The sequence below is a fragment of the Homo sapiens genome, chromosome 18 (genome assembly GCF_000001405.40).
Source record: "Homo sapiens chromosome 18, GRCh38.p14 Primary Assembly".
NCBI classification, from domain to species: Eukaryota; Metazoa; Chordata; class Mammalia; order Primates; family Hominidae; genus Homo; species Homo sapiens.
The window spans coordinates 50,774,745-50,778,545 of record NC_000018.10 but is presented as its reverse complement, the minus strand read 5'-3'; the positions used below and the strand labels follow the sequence as shown (position 1 = coordinate 50,778,545).

General features: G+C 42.5%; 1 annotated feature.

Annotated features, from left to right (window-relative positions):
• Nucleotides 1,668-2,375: an enhancer, noted in NCBI's record as "NANOG-H3K4me1 hESC enhancer chr18:48302541-48303248 (GRCh37/hg19 assembly coordinates)". NCBI's record gives its function as "activates a minimal SCP1, AML or CMV promoter by ChIP-STARR-seq in primed H9 embryonic stem cells {active_cell/tissue: H9 hESC(primed)}" and the evidence as "EXISTENCE:reporter gene assay evidence [ECO:0000049][PMID:30033119]".

The following is a 3,801-nucleotide window of genomic DNA, read 5'->3' as shown; positions in this document are numbered from 1 at the left end:
CTTAAGGTCCCAAGATAAACTTGGAGCTCCTAGACCTGTTAGAAAGTGACATTCTTTACTGGCCACAGGTCAGGAACCCTGTACAGGGACTGTGAAGATGAGGGTATGAGGCCAGTTTCCCCATGGGGCTTTTATTGGCTCTGCAATTCGAGCTTAACTCCTTAAAGGGAAGCATACCCTTCCAGTCAAAGCCTTAGTAAAATAACCATTTTCTCCAATTCTGTCCTGTTGCAAAAGAAAAACAAATTCTTATTGAACTGATGCAAACACCTATATTTCCATAGGTTAAGAATACTCAAAGATAGTTTCTAAGTTCTGGAGGAACCAGGCAGAGAGAAACAAACATCCTCCAAATTTTGATCATAGGATCAAAATGCTTAATTATTAAAGGCTGTAAATAGCTCAAAATAAGTTTCCTTGACTCTGAAAAACAAAACAAGGATCAGCAATATTCCAAGCAAAAGTCAAAAAGGTTGCTTCAGCTTCCTGAGTTCAGTCCATTTAGTTAACTCTTGTTTTGCTAGATATTTGTGAGCATTTCAGCTCATGAGTCCTGTACATTTTCCTGTATTCCAAAGTCACAATATCCAATTATCAGAAGCCTGTATTTGAGTGCACCTGTCAAAGTCCTACAGCTTATTATGAACTACGTTTTGAAAGGATTAAAACAAGACAACAACTGTCTGTGAATAGCAAAATGTCCAGGATAGTTACAGTTAGAAACACAAATGACAAAGAAGTGTGGTTATCTTCTGTGGTTTACAACAACGTAACATAACAATCTTAGTTATAATTGATAGCATATACTCAGACATTAGAATTTCAGCAATCTCATACAATTTTGGAACACATATTAGCATTATTCCCCAATATATAAACTAAAGAAGATTGAGCATTATTTTGGCAATCCCATGTACCTAAACATGTCAAACAATCCTGTTTACCTCTCTTTTCTGGACACTTCAGGCACCCTCTGAAGTATCTGAAAAGCTAGGTGCCATGGAAGACAATTTTGAAACTGAAGTTTGATTTTGGGAAGGCTGTTAATTGTTTGAGGTTTAAAACACTTGATATTATGAAATAGAATTCCAGATTACCATAAGTTATTTATTTTGCCAAAGAGCAGATTAGCGCCTTAGGAAAACTTTGTTATGCTTTTATTTCAATGCTCAACTTACAGAAAAACCATATAATACCCTTTTTTGAATTTAGTCAATATTTTCACACAGAGAACCTCTTCTCCAAGATTAATTTCCACAATTCTTCCACCACTTCTTTGAACCTTCAGCTTTTCCTATCTAACTCAAAACAATCCTTTAACCCTAGACCACAGTTTACATTTCCATGCCTTCTCATAACCTTTTCCAAAAAACAAAACAAAACAAAAACCACATTTTATTGTTTTTATACCCCTTGATTCTAAATCTATTTCCAGTAGTCCACAATTACATGTTATAATGGTAATCCCTCCTAATTTTTAACTTTAAGGTAAAACTTGGTAAGTTGCTTTAATTGTGTGCTAACTGCAGCCAAGGTCTGCCTTCTTAGTTAAAGGGTGGTTACTTCCACATGTCCCTAGGCCTTGCCAGTTGTGAAGCTGGCAAGTCAAATAGTTCTCAAAACCCAGAAAGCAGTTTGTAACCTCAAAATACTTAACAAACCTTGCCTCTGACCTGCATTTTACCAATAGTCTTTAGGGCTGTTTTTTTTTCTTGAAGGTTAAAGTCACCTGAACTGAAAGGTACTACAGCCTTTACCTTGCCTTAAGAAAAGTAGTTGATCCAAGGGTTTGCGCTTCTTTATGCCAAATTAATTAGAGCTCTTTTTACAGACATCATACACAGTACACACATTCATAAGAGAACCCAGTCACTGGCTGGGGGCCTTTAAGAGACAGGGATAGGAAAACATGCAGCTATCGAACCCGAGAGGGCTCATCCCCTCAGGCAGGACTGCTAAACAAAGCTGCCAAGTGGCTACCAGCTATGCCCTCAGGATAGAAAACAAGATGGAGGCTTGATTTCACAGCCAAAACTTTGCAGATAATACAGTGATAGTTGGGGGAGCGGTGGGGGGCTGGGGGGGTTGCCTAGCCTAGTAAAACATCTTCTAAAAGAAAAAACATTTTTTAAAGTTAACTTGCTGACTGGGTAGAGAAGGGGAAAGAAAAGAAAAAGTTTAATGCCTGGGGAAGAACGTCTTATTCTTATGCAAGTGGTTCCTCCACCAGGGAGACAAGATTTTTTTGTTCTGTTTTGTTTTTGTTTTTTGAGACGGAGTCTCTCTCTGTTGCCCAGGCTGGAGTGCAGTGGCGCGATCTCGGCTCACTGCAAGCTCTGCCTCCCGGTATTCTCCTGCCTCAGCCTCCTGAGTAGCTGGGATTACAGGTGCCTGCCCCCACGCCCGGCTAATTTTTTTTTGTATTTTTAGTAGAGACAGGGTTTCACCGTGTTAGCCAGGATGGTCTCCATCGCCTGACCTCGTGATCCGCCAGCCCCAGCCTCCCAAAGTGCTGGAATTACAGGCATGAGCCACCGCGCCCCGCCAGGAGACAAGTTTAAGCTTAATCACTGTCCGATATTGTTAAAGCCCTTGGCCAGGGAAGGGGAAGGATGCATGTTGCTGGGAACCAGACAGCCAGCTGTGCGGGACGCTTGGGCCATGCATCCCAGCCCCGGCAGGGAGAGGGGAGCCATGGTGAGCTCCCTGGTGGGTCCTGAAAAAGGAAGGAAAAGGCAGTGAAAAAGTCCAGGAGCGATGGGGGTGGGGGGCGGTAGGGGTGGAGGCATGGTTTCCCCCACCCTCAGAAGTCCGAGGATGAAAAGGCGTAAAAGCAAGAGTGAGAGGTTTTGAGTCCCCACTTCAGTCACTGCTTCTCGAGCCCACACGTTGCACACCAAAAATGTTGCAGGATTCTCCTTAGTTCAGCTAAAGACGGGGGAAGTTCTTGTCCATCCCATGGCCACGAAAATTCAGGCTCGTAGATGGCTTAAAGGGTGAGTAAAACAGGGTTTTATTAGGTAAAAAGGGAAGAAGTGGGGAAACAGGGACTCTTGCAAGGCCAGAGTCCCTCCACTAAAGCGCCTCCTGTCAGGCCGTTTGAATCCCAAGTTCCACACAGGAAGAGGAGGGGCCAGGCCCCTCCCCGATGCAAAGGGCGTGAACTTCCTGAGGCTCTACCTCAGTGGGCAGGCTGGTGGGAGTTTCTCCAGGGACCCGCTCACATCTGGCTGTCTCGGTAAGAATCATCATTTCCTAGCCTGGTCACCCCAGCTTACAAGTATGCATTATTCAAAAGTGGAATGCCATGAAACTGAGGGCTACCGAGGTGGACAGAACACCAAGGCTAAGGTAAACTGCTAGAAAACAAATTACCAGGACTAGTGCTAGATCACAAGATTAAAACTACTAAGGAATTCTGGGTTTGAGTTACTGGTACATCAGATTGAGTAGGAATAGTTTGAAAGCCTATTCCTTTTTTATTGATACATAATATTTGTACATATTTATGGGGTACATGTGATATTTTTGCATAGGAATGTGTAATGATCAAGTGAGGGTATTTCAGATATCCATCACCTCGAGTATTTATCATTTCTGTGTATTGGGGATATTTCAAGTCCTCTCTGCTAGCTGTTTTGAAATATACAGTACGTTTTTGTTAACTATAGTCACCCTACTCTGCTATTAAGCATTACAACTTGTTCCTTCAATCTTACTGTATGTTTGTACCCATCGACCAACCGCTTTCCATCCTCCCTTACACTACCACCCATATGCACACAGATACCCTTCTCAGCC